Source organism: Homo sapiens, chromosome 2, assembly GCF_000001405.40.
Source record: "Homo sapiens chromosome 2, GRCh38.p14 Primary Assembly".
In the NCBI taxonomy this organism is placed as follows: Eukaryota; Metazoa; Chordata; class Mammalia; order Primates; family Hominidae; genus Homo; species Homo sapiens.
In genome coordinates, this window is record NC_000002.12 from 180,874,222 (window position 1) to 180,898,556 (window position 24,335).

Consider the following 24,335-nt stretch of genomic DNA (forward strand, 5'->3'; position numbering starts at 1 on the left):
TTAATGAATTAGAAATCATTTGAAGGTGAAAAACTCACTAATAATAGGAAGTACACAGAAAGAGAACAAAAAAACACTGCAATTTTGGTGTGTTAACTACTCATATCTTGAGTAGAAAGATAAAAAAGATGAACCAATCAGAAATAACCACAACTTCTTAAGACATAGACAGTACAATAAAATTTAAATGCAAACAACAAAAAGTTTAAAAGCTGGGGGATGAAGTCAAAGTGTACAGTTTTTATTAGTTTTCTTTCTGAGTGTTTGTTTATGCAGTTAGTGATAAGTTATCATCAGTTTAAAATAATGGGTTATAAGATATTATTTGCAAGCCTCGTGGAAACCTCAAATCAAAAACTACAACAGTTACAAAAAAAATAAATAAATAAAAGGCAAGAAGTTAAAACATACCACCAGAGAAAATCACCTTTGCTGAAAGGAAGACAGAAAGAAAGTGAAGATCACAAAACAACCAGAAAACAAATAACAAAATGGCAGGAGTATGTTTTTACTTATTAAAAATAAGATTTAATGTAAATGAACTAAACTCTCCCGTCAAAAGACATAGAGTGGATGAGTGAATAAAAAAAAAAAAGACCAAATGATCTGTTGCATGCAAGAAACACACTTCACTTACAAAGACAAACATAGCCTGAAAATAAATGGATGAAAAAAATATTCTATGAAAATGCAAACTAAAAAAGAGCAGGAGTAGCTATATTTATATCAGAAAAAATAGATTTCAGGACAAAATTTATAAAAAGAGACAAAGAAAGACATTACATGATTATAAAGGGGTCAATTCAGCAAGAGAGTGTAACAATTGTAAATATGTATGCACCCAACACTGGAGCACACAGGCATATAAAGCAAATATTATTAGAACTAAAGAGAGAGATAAATCTCAATACAATAATAGATGGAGACTTCGACACTCCTCTTTCAGCATTGGAGATCATACAGACAACAAATCGACAAAGAAACATTAGACTTAATATGCACTATAGACCAAATGGATATAATAGATATGTATAGTATATTTCATCCAACTCATGCAGAATATACATTCTTTTCCTTGGCATGAATATCTGGATAATTCTCAAGTATAGACCATAGCTATTTTTAATTATCTGTTTGAGTTTTAATACACAACAAAACAAGTAGTAAAAAATTCAAAAAAATTGAAATCAAATCAAGTACCTTCTCTGAACACAGTGGAGTAAAACTAGAAATCATCACCAAGAGGAACTCTGGAAACTATACAAACATGGAAATTGAACAATATGCTCCTGAATGACCAGTAGGTCAATAAAGAAATTAAGGAAATTTAAAAATTTCTAGAAACAAATGAAAATTGAAACACAACAAAACAAAATCTATGAAATACAGTGAAAGGAATACTAAATGGAGATCTTATAGCAATAAGTAGCTACATGAAAAAGGTAGAAAAACATCAAATAAACAACTATGCATCTTAAAGAACTAAAAAAGCAACAGCAAACCAAATTCAAATTTAGTAGAAGAAAAGAAATAATAAAGATCAGGGCAGAAATAAATGAAATTGAAATAAAAACAACAATACAAAAGATAAATGAATTATGTTTTAGTCTGTTCTCATGTTGCTAATAAAGACGGACCTGAGACTGGGTAATATATAAAGGAAAGAGGCTTAATCAGCTCACAGTTACACATGCCTGGAGAGGCCTCACAATGATAGCAGAAAGTGAATGAGGAGCAAAGTCATGTCTTGCATGGCAGCAGGCAAGAGTCCTTGCGGAGGGGAACTCCCATTTATAAATCCATCAAATCTCATGAGACTTATTCACTACCACAAGAACAGTATGGGGGAAATTGCCCCCATGATTCAATTATCTCCACCTGGCCCCACCCTTGACACGTGGGGATTATTACAATTCAAGGCAAGATTTGGGTGGGAACACAGCCAAATCATACCAAATTAAAAAGTTGGTTTTTGGAAAAGACAAATAATATTGACAAACCTTTAACCAATTAATTAAAAAAGAGAGAAGACGCAAATAAATGAAATCAGAGATGAAAAAGGAGACATTACAATTAACACAGCAGAAACTTAAAGGACCATTAGAGAATACTGTGACCAATGATATGCCAATAAATAGAAAAACCTAAAATAAATGGATAAATTCCTAGATATGTAAAATGTAACAAGATTGAACCACAAAAAAATCCGAAACCTGAACAGACTAATAACAAGTTGTGAGATCAAAGCCATAATAAGAATTATCCTAGAAAAGAAAGGCCCAGGACTCAATGACTTTACTGCTGAATTCTACCAAACATTTTAAAAAGAACTAATGCCAATTCTACTCAAATTATTTCAAAAAGTAGAGGAGGAGGGAATACGTCCAAACTCAGTCCACAAGGCCAGAATTACTGAATCCAAAACCAGACAAAGCCACATCAGGAAAAGAAAACTACAGGCCGAAATTCCTGATGATTATTGATGTAAAAATCCTCAACAAAATACTAGAAAGCCAAATTCAACAACACATTAAAAAGCTCATTCATCATGACCAAGTGGAGTTTTTCCCAGGGTTGCTGGGATGGTTTAACATACACAAATAAATCAATGTGATACATCGTATGACAGAATAAAGGACAAAAATTATATGATCATTTCAATTGATGCTGAAAGCCTTTGAAAAAATTCAACACCCTTTCATGATAAAAACCCTAAAATAACTGGGAATAGACGGAACATATCTCAACACAATAAAAGCCATATACAACAGACCCACAACTGGCATCATTGAATGGGGAACAACTGAGAGCCTTTCCTGTAAGACCTGGAACACAACAAGGATGCCCACTTTCACCATTGTTATTCAACATCATACTAGCTAGAGCAATCAGACAAGAAAGGGAAATAAAGCATATCCAAATTGGAAAGGAAGAAGTCAACTTATTCTTAATTGCAGATGATATGATCTTATATTTGGAAAAACCTAAAGATGCCACCATAAAACTATTAGAACTGGTAAATTCAGTAAAGTTTCAGGATACAAAATCAACATAAAAAAATGGTAACATTTCTATAAACCAACAGCAAACAATCTGAAAAATAAAGTAAAAAAGTAATCCCATTTACAATAGCTGTAAATGAAATAAAATACTCAGGAATAAATTTAACCAAAGAAGTAAAAGATCTGCATAATAAATACTGTAAAACATCGTGTTCATGAATTAGAAGAATCACTATTGTTAAAATGTCCATACTACTAAAATCAATCTACAGATTCCATGCAATCCCTGTCAAAATAATAATGACATTCTTCACAGAAGTAGAAAAAACAATTCTAAAATTTATATGGAAACACAAAAGACCCAGAATAGCTGTAGCTATCCTGAGCAAAAGGAACAAAACTGAAAGAATCACATTACCTGACTTCAAATTATACTACAAAACTATAGTAACCAAAACATCATGGCATTGTTGTAAAAACAGACACATAGATGAATGAAACAGAATAGAGACCTAGAAATAAATCCATACATGTGCAGTGAACTCATTTTTGACAAAGATGCCAAGAACATAGGTATTGGAAAGGGACGGTACAGTCTTCAATACATGGTGCTGGGAAAACTACATGTCTATATTCAGAAGAATGAAACTAAACTCCTATTTCTTTCCATATACAAAAATCAAATCAAAGTGGATTAAAGACTTAAACCTAAGACCTCAAACTGTAAAACTACTATAAGGAAACTTTAAGGAAACTCTCCAGGACATCGGATTGGGGAATGATTTCTTGAGTAGTACCTCACAAGCACAGCCAACCAAAGCAAAAATGGACAAATGGGATCACATCAAGTTAAAAAGTTTCTTCTCAGTAAAAGAAACAATCAACAAAGTGACATCCCACAGAGTGGGAGAAAATACTTGCAAACTACCTATCTGACAAGGGATTAAAAACCAGAATATACAAGGAGCTATCAAACAATTCTATAGGAAAAACTCTAATAATCTGATTTTAAAATGAGCAAAATATCTGAATAGACAATTTTCAAAAGAAGACAAATGGCAAACAGGTATATGAAAAGGTTCTCAACATTGTTGATCATCAAAGAAATGCAAATCAAAATTACTGTGAGATACCATCTTACCCCAGTTAAAATGGCTTTTATCCAAAAGACAGGTGATGATTAATGCTGGTGAGGACATGGAGAAAAGGGAACTCTCATACACTGTTTGTGGGAACTAAAATTAGTGCAACCACCATGGAGAACATTTTGAGAGTTCCTCAAAAAAAGTTAAAATATAACTACCACACTTGTCAGTAATCCTACTACTGGGTATTTATCCAAAGGAAAAGAAATCTGTATATCAAAAGGATGCCTGCACTGCCACGTTTGTTGCAGCACTGTTCACAATAGCCAAGATTTGGAAGCAACCTAAGTGTCCATTAATGGACAAATGGATAAAGAAAATGTGGTGTATACACACAATGGAGTACTATTCAGTCATAAAAACAAATGAGATCCTGTCATTTGCGGCAACATGGGTGGAACTGGACATTATGTTAAGTGAAATAAGCTAGGCACAGAAAGACAAACTGTGCATATTCTCACTTATTGTGGGAGCTAAAAAATTTTAAACAATAGAATTCATGAAGATAGTTGAATGATGGTTACCAGAGGCTGGGAATCATAGTTGTGGTTGGAAGTCAGAGTGGAGATAGTTCATGGGTACAAAAATATAGTCAGATAGAATGAATAAAATCTAGTATTTGATAACACAATGGGGTGACTAGAGTCAACAATAATTTATTGTACATTTTTAAATAACTGAAACTGTATAGATTGTTACACAATGAAAAGATAAATTCTTGAGGTATGTGTATCCCTTTTACCCCGGTGTGATTATTACTCATTTTATGCTCATATTATATTATCACATGTACCCCATAAATACATATACCTACTATGTATACAAAAATATTTTTTAAACATACTTGTAGACCAAAGAAGCTCAATCAGTTACAAGATAATTAAATTCAAGGAAAAAGTACATCTGAAACATGATGGTCGATATTCTGAGAACCATGTATAGAAAGAAAATCTTGAAAGCAGCCAGAGATAAACGTATGCTAAAACAGGAACAACAATATGAGTGACAACTGACTTCTCAGAAATGATAAATGTCCAAAGACAAAGGAAGTAGGTTTTTAACATACTATAAGGAAATACTCTCATTTAGGAAATCCACATCCAGAGAAATTCATCCTCAAAAATGAGAGTAAAACAAAGATAATTTCAGATAAACAAATGCTAAGGAAATTTGTTGTCAGCAAACCTGCACTAAAAACAAAATGCTAAAGGGCATTCTTCAGACTAAACAGACATGATAACAGATGGGAATTTATATTAACAGGAAGGAATAAGTCCCATAAATGATAAATAAATGAATAAATAAAAAAGACTATTTTTTCTTCTTCATATAATTTTCTTAAAAGACAATGACAGTTTGAAATAAAATTAGTAACAGTGAAAGGTAGGATTTATAACACATGAAAAGTAAAATATGTGACAACAATAGCACAGATGATAGGAAAGGTAAGTGGAATTATATTGTTGTAAGATAATTATTTTTGTGAAGTTGTACATGGAAAGTGTGAAGTGACAGTTGCGAGATGGGATATGGTACTATATTGAGTCTAAACAGACCTTGATGAGTCAAGGATGCATATTGCTAACTTTTAGGACAACTGATAAATGTAATAAAAAGAAGACATCTAGGAAACCAATAGACAAATAAACTGGGGTTTTAGTCCATTGAGTCTGCTATAACAAAATACTATAAACTAGGTAGCTTATAAACAAAAGAAATTTATTGCTGTAAAGTTCTAGAGGCTGCGAAGTCCAAGATCAAGACACTAGCAGACTCAATGTCAGGTGAGGACCTGTTTCCTGGTTCACGAATGTAGCCTTCTAATTGTGACTTCACATGGTAGAAGGAATAAAGCAGCTCCCTGGGGCCTCATTTATAAGGGCAGTAATCCCATTCATGAGGTTTCTACCCTCATGACCTAATTATCTCCCAAAAGACCCCAGCTTTTAACACCATCACCTTGGCAGTTATAATATCACTATATGTATTTTGGGAGCATAAAAACATTCAGACAATATCAAGTGGAATACTGAAAATATCATTTTAATAAAAAATAAAGCAGGAAATAAGCAACAGGGAAATAAAACTAAAGGTAAATGGAAAATGAATTCAAAAGTAATAAACAAATCCAAACATAGAAATAATCACATTAAATGTAAATGGATTAACATTCCAATTAAAAAGCAGACTAGATAAGAGGAATATCTAGTGTCCTATAGCACTATAGGTGACTATAATTAAAAATAACTTATTGAACATTTTCAAATGTATTTAATATTTGATATGGTCTATTATAGGGTGATTATAATTAAAAATAATTTATTGAATATTTTCAAATAGTTGGAAGAGCAAATTCTTAATGTTCCCAACACAAAGATATTCTAAATGTTTGAGATGATAGATATGCTAATTACACTATTTGAGCATTACACGTTTTATCCGTATCAAAATATCATACTGTACCACATAAATTATGTAAACTGTGTCAATTGAAAATAATAATAAAAGCAAATAAAAATATTACAGTGGAGATTTATGTATCTCCTATATATACCCTAACCATATACAACTGTATGATATATACATATGTGTATAAATCCTAATGCATAACAAATTTTGTAAATACAATATTTTGTTTGAAAAAGAGTATATATTCTTTATTTTGAGGTATAGAATTCAATATATAATAGATTATACTTATTTTTAATTTAAATGTTCTATGTATTTATTTCTTGTATATGTTATCTATTGATTTCTGAGTGGCATACTAGAATCTCCTATTACAATTATACACATCACAATTATTCCTTGAAAATAAAGAGTCTGTGCTTTGTTAAAAAAAGGTCAGAGACTATTAGACTTAATAAACAGGGTGATTTAACCGTATGTTTTTTGACAATAGATACACTTTAAATATAAAGACACAAATAAGTTAAAGGAAAAAAAACACACCATGCAAAGAGTAAGCATAAGAAAGCTAATGTGTCAATATTAATATCAATACAAAGAGTATTATAAGACATAAAGATAAACAATTCATAATGATAAAAGAGGTAATTCACCAATAACATGTTAATTCTAACTTTTTGTGCACCTAGTAACAAAACCTCAATGTTCATGAGGTAAAAACTAACAGAAGTAAAGAGAAATTGTGACTAACTCACAATTATATTTGGAGATTGAAATACCTCTCATTCAGTAATTGAAAGAAAAATATATAGATAAAATCAGTCAAAATATAGTTTGAAATGCGTTATCTAACAACTTGATCTAATTGACATTAAATAATTCCATACGCCAAAACTACAGAACACTTACTCTGAAAGCTGCAATTGAAAGAATACACACAAAGTACTTATCAAGATAGGCCATGTGAAAAGTCATAATATAAGTTTTAATGAAATTGAAAAGATTGGCTATATTCTATGGCTATAATAAATGGAATAGGAAATTAATAGCAATAAGAAATATAGAAATTCCCCAATACTTGGAAATTAATTAACACACTTCTAAATAACAAGGAGGTCAGAGAAAAAAATCACAAAAGAAACAAAAAATATTTCTAACTAAATGTTAATAAAAGTACAATATATCAAAATTTGTGGCATTTAGCTGAAACAATGCTTGAATAAAAGTTATACTTTTAAATGACTATACTAGAAGAAAGAAAGCTTTTAAAACAGTGACATAAATTCCTACTTAAGAAGCCATAAAATGAAGAAGAAACAATGCAAAGTCAGTAAAAGGAAAGAAATAATACATACAAGAGCTGATACCAGTAAAAATAGAATATAGAAAACATTACAAAAAAACTAAAAAAAATGCTTTCTTTAAAAAGATTAATAAAAATCAATATACCTACACAAAACTAATTAAGAATTAAAAGAGAAAGAAATGCACAAATTACTAACATCAAGAATGATATGAAGGATATCACTGCAGGTCATAAAGACATTAGAAAGATAGTAAGGGACTACTATAAATAATTTTATGCCAATAAATTTGGAAATTTAGATGAAATTGACAAGTTCTTGAAAAAATAGCACTAAAACAGATATAAGAACAAGTAGCAAATATGAATAGTTTGAAATCTACTAAAGAAATTGTATCTGGGGCTCAAGATGCCTGACTAGATGCAACTAGAATGTGCCTCCTCCATGGATAGGAACCAAAATAGCAAGTAGATATTCACACTTCAAGTAGATTGTCTAAGAGAGTACACTGGGACTCAAAAGAGAAGTGATGAGAAGCACCAAAAGCAAGTAAGACGAGGGAGGTGAGAAATCCTTCTTGGCTGGGATTGGTTGGGAACTGAGGGAAGCTCCCAGACATGGGGAAAGGGTAAGAGATATATCCTCAGCATTCCATACTTGCATTATAGTCTTTTACAGTCTTAGCCATGAGAGAACCCCTTGAAACATGTGTCAAAACTGACACAGGGAGTAACCTAGAGATTACACAGAGGCGTTGTTCCAGAGAGGGAACTCCTGCAGATGCCCATAGGCTTTTGAGCCCTGAGAAACTGCAGCTTGGTGCCATTCTGAAATCCAAGGCCCCAGAGGACTGCATCCTGCTTTGAGGCTGATGCCACCCATGCCATCAATGAAAGGGGGAGAGAGGAAGCTGGGGTCTTTTACAAACTTCAAGGACAAATCCCACCACTGCTGCTGCAGGGTTCTGGAGAACTGAGGTGCAAGCAAACCACACTCCCCACAGCTACCTGCCTACACTGCTCCTGCTGAAAGGGGCTCCACCCCATGCCCTGGTGATAAGTCCATCTGCAGCTGGCACCATTCCAAAAGCCTAGCCTCCAGAGGTCTGTGTCCTGCCTTGGGGGCCTGGATCTGGGTTGCTGTTGCTGCTGCCACCACCAAGGCAAGGATGGAAAGGGCAAGCCAGGTGTTTTCACATGTCTTGAGCACAAATCCCACCAACATTGATGTAGGCTGCTGTGTGATTGAGGCATGAGGAAACTGCATGTTCCCAGCTATCTCCCTATGCTACTCCCACTGAGAGTGACCTCACCTCAGTCACTGGAGGAGTGATCTTCCCAGTGGCAGATCCACAGCACCACTGCCACTCGCCATACCTCAGCATTCCACTAACAGCCTGGGAATCACCCTGCCCCTGCCTATGACAACAAGCACCTGAACACACTTCAAAACAGCCTAAGTCTGCTGGCTCAGTCCCATCCTCTCAGTAATTCAGTATGCTGTCCAGGGGCCTGGAAATCACTCAGCACAGTCTACCACCATTGGCACATGAACACTTCTCCCAGGGTCTAAGGACAGGCTGACATAACATGCTAATACCACCAGAGCTGGCACTCACCCAGATGTACCACATCAGGCCAGGAAGCAGAAACTACCAACATCCCAGCAAACCATGTGGAGGCCCCCAAATCAGACTGCTTGGGCCTAACAACACAAGTGCCAGCATAAGCCAACCTGGGGCCAAAGGACAGGCATGATCAGCTAATCACTGCCACCACTGAGGCCCCATGACTGGACCATCTGTTATCCTGGTCCCCAGCAAAACTTCATCACAGCCAGCATTAATAACTGTACCCTAAGCCACCAAGGAAATCACAGCTATTACTGACATTGTTTACAGACAAAGATCCCAGAGATCACACTACTGCATACACCCAAAATCAAAGCCAAAGCACCTTACCCAACTGACAATATATAAATATTTTCAGGAAAACTTCTTCCCATATGAAAGCAGTTGCAAAAAAAAAAAAAATGGAAGAAGTAACTATTATACCAGAAGTGCAGATATCAATGCAAGGACACAGAAAAAAAATGAAACGGCAAAAAAAAAAAAAAAAAAGACACCTCCAAAGGAACACAGTAGCTCTTCAGCAACAGATTTCAATCAAAAAGAAATTAATAAAATCCCTGATAAAGAATTAAAAATATTGATTTTAAGAAGTTCAGTGAGATACAAGAAGATTCTGAAAAACAGTACAGGGAAATCAAAAAAAAATTCAGAATATGAGTGAGAAATTTACCACAGAGTGCCAGATATTTTTAAAAAGAACCAGACTGAAATTCTGGAACTGAAGAATTCATTGAATGAAATACAAAATATAATCAGAAGTATCAACAAAGGACTAGATCAGTAAATTTCTCAACAAAAACCTTACAGGCCAAGAGAGAATGAAATGACATATTCAAAGTGCTGAAAGAATAAAACTGGCATCCAAGGATACTACATCTATTAAAATCATCCTTCATAAATGAAAGAGAAATGAAGTCTTTCCTATATAAGTAAATACTGAGGGAATTTATCATCACTATACTGGTCCTACAACAAATGCTCAAGATAGTTTTAAGCTTGAACGTGAAAGGGTAACATTTACCATCATGAAAACATATGAAAGTATAAAACTCACTGGTAAGCCAAAGACACCATTGAGGAAGAGAAAAAACTCAAGTGGTACCACTACAGCATACCCCAAAGCACAGTGACAAAAAATAAGAGAAAAAGAGACAATGAATATAAAAAACGACGAGAAAAAATCAACAATATGACAGTAATAAAACCTCACATATCAATAATAACCTTAAATGTAAATAAATTAAATTCTCCACTTAAAAAATACAGATTGTCTAAATGGATAAAAAACATGTTCCAACTATATGCTGCCTACAAGAAACATACTTTACCTGTAAAGACACATACAGATTCAAAGTAAACAAATGGAAAAAGATGTTCCATGCAAATGAAAACCAAAAGTGAGTAGGAGTAGCTACACTGATATCAGATAAAACAGACATTAAGTCAAAAACAGCAAAATGATGAAGATGGTCACTAAATAATGATAAAGGGGTTATACCAGCAAGAGGATATAACAATTGTAAATATATACATACACCCAACACTGGAGCACCCAGATTCATAATGAAAATATTGCTAGATCTAAAGAGAGAAAAAGACATCAATACAATAATAGAAGGGTATTCCAACACCCCACTCACAGTATTAGACAGATCATCTAGACAAATAACTAACAAAGAAATGTGGGATTTAAACAACTTTAGACCAAATGGACCTAACAGACATTTACAAAACATCTTATCCAACAACAGCAGAATATACATTATTTTCATCAGTACATGAAATATTCTCCAGGATGGACCATGTGTTAGGCCACAAAACAAGTCTCAACAAATTTTCAAAAGTCAAAATTATATCAAGTAACTTCTCAGACCACAATGGAATAAAGCTAGAAATCAACACCCAGAGGAACTTTGGAAACTCTACACATACATGGAAATTAAACAACGTGCTCCTAAATGACCATTGGGTGAATGAAGAAATTAAGATGGAAATAAAAAAAAATTTCAACAAATGAAAATGCAAATACAGCATACCAAAAGCTGTGAGATGCAGCAAAAGCAATGCTATGAGGGAATTTTATAGCAATTAATGCCTACATCAAAAAAGTGGAAAGATTTCAAATAAACAAGGTAATGATGCTCAAGGAACTAGAAAAGCAACAACAAACCATCCCAAAATTAGCAGAAGGAAAGAAATAATAAAGATCAAATCAGAACTAAATAAATTAGAGAACAAAAAAAAACAAAGGATTAACAAAATGAAAAATTGATTTTTTTGAAAAAGTAAACAGCATTGATAAACCTGTAGCTAGACTAACCAAGAGAGAAGACCCAAATAAAGAAAAACAGAAATAAAAAAGGAGACATTACAGCTGATAACCACAGAAATACAAAAGATTATCAGGCATTATTATAAACTACAATACACTAACCAACTGGAAAATCTAGAAGAAATAAATAAATTTCTGAATATACAATCTACCGAGATTGAAGAAAGAAGAAATAGAAAATGTGAACAGACCAATTACAAGTAATGGGATTGAATCAGTAATAAAATGTCTTCCAACAAAGAAAAGACCAGAACTGGATGGATTCACAGCCCAATTCTACAAAATGCACAAAGAAGAACTCATACCTATCCTCCTAAAAAAATCCCCCAAAAATTGAAGAGAAGGGAATTCTGTTTAATTCATTCTATGAGGCCAGTATTACCCTAACACCGCAATCAGATTAGAACACAACCAAAAAAGAAAACTATAGGCCAATATCCCTGATGAACATATTTACAAAACTCCTCAACAAAATACTAGCAAACCAAATCCAACAGCACATCAAAAAGATAATACACCATGATCAAGTAAATTTTATACCAAGAATTCAAGCGTGGTTCAATATACTCAAATCAATGAAAGTGACACATCACATCAACAGAATGAAGGACAAACACCATATGATCATCTCAATTAATGCAAGAAAAGCATTTGATAAAATTCAACATTCCTTCATGATAAAAACTCTCAGAAAACTAGGAATAGAAGAAATTTACCTTAAAATGATAAAGGCCATATATGACAAACCCATAACTAACATCTTGCTGAATGGGGAAAAGCTGAAAGCTTTCCCTCCAAGATCTAGGATAAGATAAAAATGCCTTCTTTCACCACTCCTATTCAACATAGTGCTGAAAGTCCTAGCCAGAGGAATCAGGAAAGAGAAAAACAATAAAAGTCATCCAAATTGGAAAAGAAGTCAAATTGTCCCTCTTTGCTCATGATATAATCTTATATCTAGAAAAACCTAGGGACTCCACCAAAAACTCCTAGATCTTACAAGTCAATTCAATAAAGTGGCAAGATGCAAAATCAACATACAAAAATCAGCAGCATTTCTATATACAAAATAGAGAATATCTACTATGGGATATTCTTAGTAGAGAATAGCTAACTGAGAAAAAATCAAGAAGGCAAATCTCATTTACAATAGTCACAAAAAAATTAAATACTTAGGAATAAATTTTAACAAAGGAGGTAAAAGACATGTATAAGAAAAACTACAAAACACTGGTGAAAGAAACTAAAGGGGACACAAACAAATGGAATTACATCCCATGCTCATAAATCAACAATGTATACAGTTAAAGTGACCATACTGCACAAAGCAATCTACAGATTCAATGCAATCCCTATCAAATACCAATGTTGTTTTTCACAAAAATAGAAAAAATAATAGTAAAATTTGTATGGAACCAAAAAGTCTCCTGAATAGCTAAAGCAATTCTGAGTGAAAAGAGCAAAGCTGGAGGCATCACACTATCTGACATCAAAGTATATTACAAGCCTATAGTATCCAAACAGGATGATACTGATGTGAAAACAGACACATACACCAATGGAACAGAAATGAGGATCCAGAAATGAATCCATGTATTTACATCCAACTGATTTTCAACAAAGGTGCCAAAAACACACACTAGGAAAAGGACTCTCTTAAATAAATGGTGCTGAGAAAAATGGATATCCATATGTAAAAGAATGAAACTGAATCCATTTGTCTACCCATATCAAAAATCAACTCAAGATGTACTAAAGACTTAAATGTAAGACTCAAAATTGTAAAACAACTAGAAAAAAGTAGGGAACATACTTTAAGATCGGTCTAGGCAAAGATTTCATGGCTAAGAGCTCAAACGCACAAAAAACTATAATAAAAATAAATAAATGGGACTATATTAAACTAAAAAACTTCTATACAGCCAAGGAAACATTCAAGAGAGTGACCAGTTTTATGGGAGAAAATATTTGTAAACTATTCATCTGACAAAGAATGAATATCCAGAATAACCAAGGAACTCAAACAACTCAACAATAAAAAAAATCTCATTTAAAAGTGGTCTGTGGACATGAATATAAATTTTTCAAAAGGAGACAGACAAATGGCCACCAGGCATATGAAAAAAAAAAATGCTCAACATCAGGAAAATGTAAATTAAAATCACAGTGAAATATTATCTCATCTCTGTTATAATGGCTATTGCTAAAAAGACAGATACTGATGAAGACGTAGAAAAATGAGAACTTTTATAGACTATTGGTTAGAATGTAAATTTGTACAACCACTATGGAAAACAGTATAGAGACTCCTCAAAAAATTAGAAATAGAACTGCCATATAATCCAGCAATCCCACTACTCGGTATTTATCCAAAGGAAAAAAAAAATACGTATATTAAAGAGATATCTGCACTCACAAGTTTATCACAGCACTATTCACAATGTCAAGAATTTGTAATCAACATAAGGGTTCATCAGCAGACGAATGGATACGGAAAGTGTGATATATATATACATATATACAATCAAATACTATTTGTATTTGATGTATACAATCATATACTATTGTGTATATACATACACAATATATATATTGAATATATATATATATATACACAATCAAATACTATTCAGCCATTCAAAAGAATGAAATCATGTCATTTGTAGCAACATAGGTACAACCTGAGGTCATTATGTTATGTGAGATAAGCCTAGCACAGAAAGATGCTGTATGTTCTCACTCATACATGGGAGCTAAACAACAACAATAAAAAAGATCTCACAGAGATAGAAAATAGAATGATAGGAACCAGAGCATGGGAAGGGTGTGTAGGTGAGAGGGGGAAATACAGAGGGATTGGTTAGTGGGTACAAACATATAGCATATAGTTGTAAAAAACAAAAATGCCCCAATATTCAATAGCAGAGTAGAGTCACCATAGTTAGCAACAATGTATTGTATATTTCAAAGTAGCTAAAAGAGAGGACTTGTACCAACACATAGAAATGAAACTCAAGATGATGGCTATTTCAAATACCCTGACCTGATCATTACACATTTTATCCATGCAATAAATATTCACATGTACCCCATAATATGTAAAATATTTTGTTTCAATTAAAAAAATTTTTTAAGAAATTCAACTAGTAATCAAAATGTTCCCAAAAGGAAAACATCAGGCCTAGGTAGTTTAACTCTCAGATATATCAAACATTTAGAAAAAAAATAATAATCTTAAAACATTCTTCCATAAAAACAGAGGTAGAGAAAGCGCTTCTCAATTTACTTTGTGAGGCCATCAAAACTGTCATATAAAATCTGATGAACACATCAAAACAAAGAAAATTAAACATCAATATCCATCATGAATGTGGGCACAAAAATACTCAAAAGTATTAGAAAATTGAATCCAGTGATATATAAGAAAATAATGACTTATATTAAAAAGTAATATTTACACTGGGAATGTAAGATTTGTTCAAAATTGAACAAATTATTCAATTAACAATACAGAAGAAAAGTCATAATCATCACAATAGGTCTAAAATACCTTTTAAAAATTCAACCTTCATTCATTATTAAAAAAAGAAACATCTCAGCCAACAAGGAATATAAGGGAACATCCTCAATCTCATAAAGAAAAACCTTATAGAAAACATATTTCATGATAAAAGTTTGAATGTTTTCTTCACAGCATTGGAGATAAGTGAAGGATATCTGCTCTTAGCATTTCTATTCAATCTTGTGCTGGATATCTTAGCCAAAATAAAAAGGCAATAAAAAGAAATTAAAAAGTCCACATATTGGAAAGGAAAAAGTAAAATATTCTTCATTTTCAGATGACATGATTCTAAGGAACTTATAAGAAAACTACTACAATCAATAAGAGAACTTATGAAAGTTGCAAGATAAAAGGTCAATATCCAGGAATTAATTGTATTTCTACATGCTAGCAAAAAATAATTGGAAATGAGATTTTTAAAATACAATTTTCATGTCTTTCAAAGACATGAAATGCATAGGTATCAATTTAACGAAAGATATGCAGGACCTCTGCACAGAAAATTACAAAACATTGCTAAGAGATATTAAAGATATCTATATAAATGAGAGTTACACCATGTTTATGAATCAATAGTTTGAAAAAAGTGCGTTCTTCCCAAATTGATATGTAATTCAATGCAATATCAATAAAAATTCAAATAGGAATTTTGGAGAAATTGGCAAGTGGATTCTGAGATGCATATGAAAATGCAAAGAACCTAGAATTGCTGAATTATTTTGAAAAAGAACCAAGTAGGAGAGCTTATGCTACCAATCTTAAGACTTGTATAAAATTTCTGTAATTAAGACAGGGTAATAATGGCAAAAAGATAGAAATATAGATCACAGGAATGGAATAGACCATTCTGATATAGAACCACACACATTGCCAACTAATTTTCAGCAGAATGCCTGGTCAATTCAATAAAGAAATAAAAATCTTTCCAACAAATGGTGCTAGAATAACCGGAAATCCATAAGAAAAATTAAAAAAACCTCATGCCATATGCAAAACTTAATTTTAAATAAGTTATAAGCCTAAATGTATAAAATTGTAAGGCTTTTAGAACAAGACATTGCAGAAAATTTTTACAAACTTGAATAAGCAGTTATTTGTTAGGCAGGACACAAAAAAAACAAGCCATTAAAAAAATTGACAAATTAGACTTTATTAAAATTTAAATCTCCTGCTCTTTCAAAGATACCATTAAGAAAATGAAAATGTAAGGCACGGATTAGGATAAAATATTCACAATACATGTATTTCATAAAAGACATAGCCAGGATAAATTTTTTAAATTCTTGAAATAATGTGAAGATAACTCATTTATAAAATGTTTAACATAATTAGTCATCAAGAAATCACAATAAGATTCCACTACAGATTTACTAGAACAACTAAAACTTTAAAACTGGCAACAAATCAGGGTGTGAAGCAACCAGAGCTCTCACACATTGCTGATGAGAATGTAAAACAGCACACTGTGGAAAATAATTTGGCAATTTCATTTAAAGTTCAACATACACTTTCCATAAAACCATCAATTCCACTCCTTAGTGTTTTCCTATGAGAAACAGAAAAATTATTTCCCAAAAGAAGACTTGTACACTGATACTTATAGCAATTTTATTCATAATAGGCAAAACTAGAAATAATACAAATGTCTGTCAACAGGTGAATGAATAAACAAATTGTGACATATTCATATAATGGACTAGTACTCATGAAAGAAAGGCTCCAATTACTGGTACATGCAACAATGTGATTTAATCTCAAACCTAATACAAAAGAGTGCATACTATATGACTTGAATTTGTCTGAAGTCCTAAAACAGGCAAAACTAATCTACAGAGATAAAAATCAGATCAGTGGTTGTACATTGTGCCTATTATGTAGTTTTTTATCCCTCACTCCCCTCCTGCCTTCCTCCCTTCTGACTCTCCAATGTCCATTATACCACTCTGTAAAATGGGTTTACTGCAAAGGGACCTGAGGGAGTGTGCTGGGGTGAAAAAAAATTCTGTGTTTTAAGTGGGTTGGTGGTACTCATTTGAAAGTACATGTGCTTTTCAAAACTCTTTGAACTGTACACTTAAAATATGTGCATTTTACTTCATATAAATTACTTTTCAGTAAAGTTGATTTAAAAATAAAATGAAATTTCTGAATTAAAAAAGGGTTGGGTGAAAATTCATATATCTCAAGAGCAGAAACATAAGTAGTAAAGGCGGTGCCTGATGGATGTAGCCAATTCATCTAATATATTAAGAATATAGATTGAAATTCATGTTGCTGGTGGGCACTGTTAGGAATTGAATACATGATGCTCTGTAAACCTGAACCAGCAGTTTGCAAAAGTAAGTAATCCTTAGTTTATAGGCAATTAGCAATTAGGCATAAAGTATAATTGCTGTTGCTATATTTGTAGTCAAGTGAAATTGTAGTATGATTAGACTAATTGAAAAGTGTAAAAAAATCTGTTGTGTAAACTGTATTTAAAGATTTCTCTCCATGCAAAGGAAATGTTAGCAAGATTAAACGGAAACAACAAAAAAGACTCCCACCTATCTTGAAGATTCCTGATTGTCACCAAACTACTAAAATTATACTAGAGGTTTTATCTACCATTCAGCCAGAGGCACTGTGGCTTACCAAAGCTAAAGATGTTTTAGTCAGAAAGAAGCCATATGCCTTTCAAGTATTAGCAGGCATTCCTAAGGACGTTGCTGAGAGGTTGGCCTCGGAAGCAACTGCTACATCCAGATATGAGTATCTGGGATGCTTACTCAGAAGGATTTGCAGGCTTGTTTTAGAAAAGTCGAACAATTTCAGTGGTTTCCTAAATTAGACTGTTCTCCATACAGTATCAGAGTCATCTCTCTAAAACACAAATATAATCATGCAAACTTTAGCTAACTCCCCGACGTATAGGGGCATCCTAAACTCTTTGGGATAACACACGTGGGTCCTCTCACTATGGCCCCAGCCAATCTTTCCATTTTCATCTCCCTTTTTAATCAGTTCTTCAGCCACTTTGACTTTCTCACCATTTCCAATTATGCCATGAAAAGTCATAAATCAGTTATTATTCCCAAACTCCTCAAATGCTTGGAAAATGCTTAATTATCATCCAGACCCAGATCAAATGTCACTTCCTTTGTGAAAATTTCCTGACTCCCTCAAGAAGAGTATTTCCATCTTTCCAGTTGCAATCTCACTTTGTACAATACCTTCATTGTAATATGTATGTCATCTTATTCAGATTGCATTTTAATATGTCTAACTCAACTATGAAGCTTTGATTAGCTCAAGGCCAGATACTGTGTCTTATTTATCATTAACTTGTCCCGAGCACCATACACAGTACATAAACTCAGTAGCAACTGAATCAATGTCTATTGAAGAATGAATCTCTTGATCAGATATAAATCTCTTTCTTTCAAGGATCAGAAAAATGTAGATTCCCTACACTGAATTTCACCCTCTTACACACCAAAGATTTCCCTGTTTTTAGACCAAAGAGTATACAGAGTTTCCCTCCAGTGCAGGCCCTATTCTCTCCCAGATGTGACAGTGATACAGTCCTGTGCTTTGGAAAACCAAGTTCATTCTTAAAGCTACTATAATAGGAGACTACTATGGAGATTTAGGTTAGACTTTGATATAGGTTGGATGCTTGTCTCCTCCAAATCTCATGTTAAAATGTGGTCCCCAATGTTGGGGGGTGGGGCCTGGTGGGAGGAGGGCAGATCCTTCAGGAATGGCTTGGTGCCCTCTCCACAGTAATGAGTGAGTTCTCACTGTGTTAGTTCACTTCAGAACTGATTGTTTGAAATAACCTGGCATCTCTCTTGCTCACTCTCTTGCCATGTGAAGCACCTACTCCCTTTGCCTTACACCATGAGTAAAAGCTTCCTAAGGCCTCACCAGAAGCTCAGCAGATGACAGCACAATGCAGAGCTGTGAGTCAAATAAACCAATGTTCTTCATAAATTACCCAGCCCCAGGGATTTCTTTATAGCCATGCAAAATGGATTAATACAAACTTCATCTCAGAAAAAAATTATAAGAAGATTTCTATATCAAAACTATTTTGATTACAAAAATAATTTCTTGAAAACTCTGATATCCACAAGTAGATGGTCTCCAAAGTGATTGTGGGTACCTTTCAGACACTGAAGGAATGACGTGAGAAAAGAGACTAATAGGCCAAAGCTGTAAATGTCCAGTGAATTAAAGGGGTGGGTAAAAGAAACTCTTAAAAAGCACAGGAAATTTGAAACTGGTTAATGCCAGTGACAATTGATGAAAATTTAAAGCATATGGATGATTCCCTTGCATCATCAAAAATAGAGGTGAGATTGCACAATTTAAGTAGATCTTGATCTTGCTCTGAAAGCAGACAGCACTGCCCTGCATATCACAAATACACTCCCAATGGACAGAACATATATCTGTTTAGTCAGAGAAAAAAAAATAACATAGAGTTATCCATCTTTGGTTTTCCTGCTGTGCCAAAGCATCTTCAAACATGAAGAGAGCTGCACCTGGGATGCCCTGCTTCTTTTCCCAAGCCTGACATTGTTTCAGTTCTTTCTTGGGAATGCATCCAAGACATGGAGCACAAGGATGTTCTGTACACAATTTAAAACACTTTTATTATAAGAATCAAAAAATGGCTGGAGGTAGGAAACTTATCGTACTCATTGGCACTTCTAAAAATGCACAAAAGACTACATTGTACTGTGCCCAGTAATTATTATTAAGCATTTGTATAGAACTTTATATTTACAAAGTGCTTTGTAGTCCTTTGTGTTATTATTCCTCACAGCAGCCTTATGAGGTAGGTTGGTATTGTTAAATCTATTTTACCTCACTTCAGGAGGTCCCTCTTTGAAGTACTTTGAAATAAAACTTGAAGAATCAAAACCCTTCAGAGTGTCTGGAAGAACAAGGTGAAAAAAAAGCCCCATGGTGAAAGTTTGTGCTAAAAAAGAAATCCCAAAGGGAGCCTGTGTGCTGGAGAAGGAGATCAGAGACCAAAAAGGGAGCTGGAAATTGCATCAATTTGATTTGGAAATAATGGGCAGCCTGAATATAGTGAGATTCATTTATTAAGTTGAGTATGAATATGAGACCTGTTTTCTTTTTGGTTTGTTTAGAAAACCTTGTATCGGGTACTGATAAATTGTAAATAAGCTAAATATTTTTTGTATGGTATCTAGGTGAGACTGGTGATTGCCCTTCACTGTCAATTTCTGTGTTTTTATATCATAACACATACAATCATAAATGAGGAAATTCAGTGCAGTTGGGCACTGGGTTCTGTTACGAATCCAAGAGTTAACTGATCAGCCACAAGAAGAAATTTTTAAATGTTTCCGTTACCTTCGAAGATAAACTTTCTTTATTTCATCTTAAAAATCATTCATATTTGTATGGAAAAAATTTGGAGAATAAATAAAAGTTTGAAAAATTTCACCAATACTCGTAATACCCAAGACAATCATCATTTAAAATGTCAGATTTCCTTCACATGTTTGTCTAAGCATAATTTACATTATTCTGATTAAATAATGTATATAGTTTTGCATACTCCTTTTTATTTTACATTTTAATATAAATATTTTTTCTGTTTTATATAACAAACACTTACAACATGCAGCTCTTCTAAGCCTGGAGAAATATACTTAGTCCTAGAAACTGCAAAGATTTTAGCATCCCTAAAATACTATTACCTTAAAAATATTATTACTTTAAAAATCTGATATGATGACCTTTCTTAATAATGGCAGAAACTGTCATGGTTTCCATAAATGGGATCATCAGTCTCAGAGCTTAGAATACCATCTATGTATATTGATAACTCCCAAATTATATGCTCATGTCTCTCTTTTAAATTCCAGACTTGAATATCCAACTTCCCAGTCAGTCTTTTCATTTGAATGTTTAATGGGCATCTCATACCTAAAACAGCCAAACTGAAATTCTTTTTCTTTATTTTAAAAAAACTGTTAATACATAGTATTTATACATTGTTATAGGGTACGTGTGGTATCTTATTACATGCATAGACTCTGTAACAATAAAGTCAGGTTACTTAGGGTATCCATCACCTTGAGTATTTATAATTTCTATGTGTTGGGAACATTTCAAGTCCTCTCTTGTAGCTATTTTGAAATACGCAATACACTGTTGTTAACTACAGTCATAATACTCTGCTATTGAACATCGAAACTTCTTCCTTCTGCTTAACTGTATGTTTGTACCCATTAAACAACCTCTCAGGCTCTCACACCCTTCTCAGGCTCTGGTTACTAACATTCTACTTTCTACCTTCATAAGATCAACAATTTTTAGCCCCAAAAATGAGTGAGAACATGCAATATTTGTTTTCCTCCATCTGGCTTATTTCATTTAACATAATGTCTTCCAGTTCCATCCATGTTGCTATAAATGGCAGGATTTTATTATTTTTTTATTGCTGAGTAGTATTCTATTGTGTATATATACTGCATTTTCTTTACCCATTCACCTGTTGATGGATACTTAGGCTGATTCCATATCTTTGCTATTGTGAATAGCACTGCAGTAAATATGGGGGTGCAGGTGTCCCTTTGGTATAATGATTTTCTTTCCTTTGGATAAATACCAGTAGTGTGATTGCTGGACTGGATGGTAGTCCTGTTTTTAGTTTTTCTGAGAAATCTCCATACTGTTTACCATAATGGCTATAGGAATTTACATTCCTACCAACAGTGTATAAGAGTTTCCTTTTCTCTGTATCCTTGCTAGCTTCTGATGTTTTTTGTCCTTTTAGTAATAGCCATTCTAACTAAGATGATATTTCACTGTGGTTTTGATTTACATTTCCCTGATGATTAGGGAAATTACATTTCTGTCATACCTCACATCTCATTTATTAGAAAATCTTCTTTGTTCTCTCTTCAAAATCTAACCTCTGTCCACATCACTACCAATACTCCCCAGGTTCAAGTCACCAGTCTCTCTCTAGATTAGTGCATTAGCCTCCTATCTGATCTCTGTTTCTGCTCTTGCTCCTTTAATGCTATCCTTAATCTAGAACCCAATGCAGTTCTGTTAAAACCTATCAGACACACTCATCCTTGCTCAAAACCTTGCAATGGCTTCCCATTTCACTCTCAGTATGGACTTACCAGGACCCACAAGCTCTGCCCCTCACATTCACACTCATTACCTCCCAGACCTCCTCTCTAACTGCTGTCCAGGTTGTCCACTCTATTCCAGACACATTAGGCTCCTCCTATAAATACCAGGCACCCTCCTGCCTTGGGACTTTTTCACTTCTTCCCCCATCCGAAATTCTCTTCCTCCAAACAGTCACTCAGCTCCCTCTCACATCTATTCTCTTCAAAAGGCTTTCCTCTAAAATTTAAAGGCTACTCCACCAATAAGCCATCTGTCTCCTTCCCTGCTTTTTTCTTATTTAGTACCTTAATTTCAGATTAACATACCATATATAGTTCTATTTATCCTGTTTAGTACATATCTTCCCCCGCTAAACTGTAAGCTAAGATATAACAAGAATATAGGGGCATAGATTTTTGTCTGTTTTGTTTGTTGCTCTATTTCCAGCACCTAAAACAGTATCCAATACATGGTGTGTGCCAAATAAATATCTGTTCGATAAATAAACCTTCTGAGATAGAATATGTGGAAATTTCTTAACTGACCTAGCTAACCTAAAAATTAAGGTACAATGCAACGAGCTAAGTAAAAGGTATTTAGAGACAAGACAAAGTAAAGTGGCCTATATGATAATAAGATGACCTGAGGACCACTTGCCAAAGAACTTAATAACTCTTCATGTTAGGAAGAAGTCATTAATATTCAAGATCAATGTTTTTAATATATCTCACTTACCCTTTCTAGGATTCAAGGCAGTGTTGCAGGTTAGATTCTAATAATGGAGCCCTTCTTGCACTGTCAATAGTCACTTGGGAACTTTGCATAGCAAGTAATTTTCCACAACCCTTAGTTTCTCATACCATTTCTTAGAAAAAAACTAATCATAGAAAAAAATTTTATATTGTTAAGATGTCATTATTGAACCATATGCACACAAATATACATTAAACATAAGTAATCATATATATAACAAAATTAATGTTATGCAGTAATCTGTTTGATTTTCAACATGCTTTTATAGTTTATAAAACATGACCATTTGTATCAGGCTCTATTTCAATGTTTAAAACTTAAAAGATTTTTTAAAAGAATCAAATAACTAAAACAAATTTTAAAATAACATTTTTATTAAGTACCTCTGAGAATAAATAGGTAGAATTCATACAAAGTCCAGCGATTCAACAAATTAGTCTTCCGAGGTAGCAAAAAAAGTTTAACTGTATCTACAAAAAAGAATTAGTAAGGTGAAAGTTAACTTATCAAAATCAGTTGTCAAAACAAACTACTCAATAGTTACTTTAATTGCCTATAGTGGAGAAAACCTTCAAAGATTTAGACTTATATATATGACCCAAACAGCTTATTCAGGTGATATTTTAAACCTTAAGAATTAGATGTAAGTGTAAGTAAAACTTAAGATTTCATTTTTATTTACTAACATTGCTCCTCTACAGGGACAATTTCTCACTTTCTCTGAAGGCACTGACACAGATTTTGGTGATTATTGCTGTATGCTGGGCCATATGTTACACGGCAGAGTACAGCATGTGGCAGGCTAATTTGTAGCAATGCAATTTTAGATTTTTGACAATATACACAATATATGAAAACTATCAAGTAACTGAATTTTACCCTGATGAATTATCTATATATGTCACTTCAAAACCCACCCCCTAAAAACAGACTGCATATAATATTATTAAAAAGTAGTACAACTTATGACTGTTAAAATGTTATTCTCAATTTATCATGCAAGACCATATTCAGATTCTGTTGCACAGTCTTAAAATTGCCAATTA

The 24,335-nt window shown here is 33.4% G+C and overlaps 1 long non-coding RNA gene across 7 annotated transcripts in view; it reads left to right on the forward strand.

The window, feature by feature from the left end:
- SCHLAP1 (SWI/SNF complex antagonist associated with prostate cancer 1) overlaps positions 1–24,335 on the forward strand; it is a 224,836-nt gene that overhangs the window by 182,118 nt on the left and 18,383 nt on the right. The window lies entirely within an intron of this gene.